Genomic DNA, 1,289 nt, shown 5'->3' on the forward strand with positions numbered 1-1,289 from the left:
AAGTATTTAAAAGGTGGTGAGTATGTGGATATTCACTCCTTTGACCTGCTATTGCTCCTACAGTTTTAACAATTTAAAAGGCAGTAAACATGAGATGTCCTCATTTGATCTGATAAATTAATCAATGCTTGTAGGCTGAATTCATTGGCTGCTTCTGGAAGTAGCTAAGAAGAAAAGGAGGAACTAAAGTTGCTTCAGTTTGTGCACATTGTTCCCTATACAAGTGTGCCCAGTAGAGGGAGCAACTGGGCGCTGAAATCCAGTCCAGGTTCCACTTGCACTGGTTGAAGTTGCATTACTTGGAGGAAGGGGTATCTTTTTCTACTTCACACAAAGGTGCATTATGGGCTAGTGGTGCCTTGTGGTGGTGTGGTTCACTCATTTCTATCCTTGATCTTGTGCATATTCTTTGGTTTTTGTTTGCTGCTTCAGTGGTAAACCAAAGTGAAAGCAAACCTAAAACAAATCAGAGTAATTATTCTTGCCAATGTTGAAGCTTAAACAGGCCTTTATGGTCTGTCTTAGCTAATTGTATAACACTGTTTTTAAAAATGATCATTTCTCCCCTTTGGTTTGTAATGTAAACTTTAATTATCCCTCCTCCCCCCAGAAATATCTTTATTTCATTTTCAGTTCTTGATAACACATGATCATGTTGAAGCATTCGAAAAATACAGAGAATTGTATCCGCCTTCCAAGAGTAGCCATTGCTAACAATTTGGTATATATACTTCACAAATCTTTCATAAATATATAAAAAGATATTTCTTTTAATGCATATGTATCTACCTATGTCATTCTTTCTGTTTGTCTATTTCTCTATTTATCTACTTATCCCGATTGACATTGATGCTTACATGTTTTTAGTGTTATACCAAATTTTTTTTTTTTTTTTTGAGACAGAGTTTCACTCTGGTTGCCCAGGCTGGAGTGCAATGGCGGGATCTCAGCTCACCGCAACCTCTGCCTCCCGGGTTCAAGTGATTCTCCTGCCTCAGCCTCCTCAGTAGCTGAGATAATAGGCACCCACCACCATGCCCGGCTAATTTTTGTATTTTTAGTAGAGACAGGGTTTCTCCATGTTAGTCAGGCTGTTCTCGAACTCCTGACCTCAGGTGATCTGCCTGCCTTGGCCTACCAAAGTACTAGGATTACAGGCATGAGCCAGCGCGCCTGGCCTGTGTTTTACTATTATAAACTATTCTGCAGTGGTTATCCTTTTACTTGTAGCTTCTCATACACTGGGGCTATTACTTTCTTAGGATAAATTGTAAGACATGAAATTGCTG

At 39.3% G+C, this 1,289-nt stretch overlaps 1 annotated feature.

The window, feature by feature from the left end:
• Positions 800-993: a silencer, noted in NCBI's record as "fragment chrX:139655621-139655814 (GRCh37/hg19 assembly coordinates)". NCBI's record gives its function as "represses an EF-1alpha promoter that drives an FKBP-Casp9 reporter gene in an ReSE screen in HepG2 liver carcinoma cells {active_cell/tissue: HepG2}" and the evidence as "EXISTENCE:reporter gene assay evidence [ECO:0000049][PMID:32094911]".

This window comes from Homo sapiens, chromosome X (assembly GCF_000001405.40).
Source record: "Homo sapiens chromosome X, GRCh38.p14 Primary Assembly".
Lineage (NCBI taxonomy): Eukaryota > Metazoa > Chordata > Mammalia > Primates > Hominidae > Homo > Homo sapiens.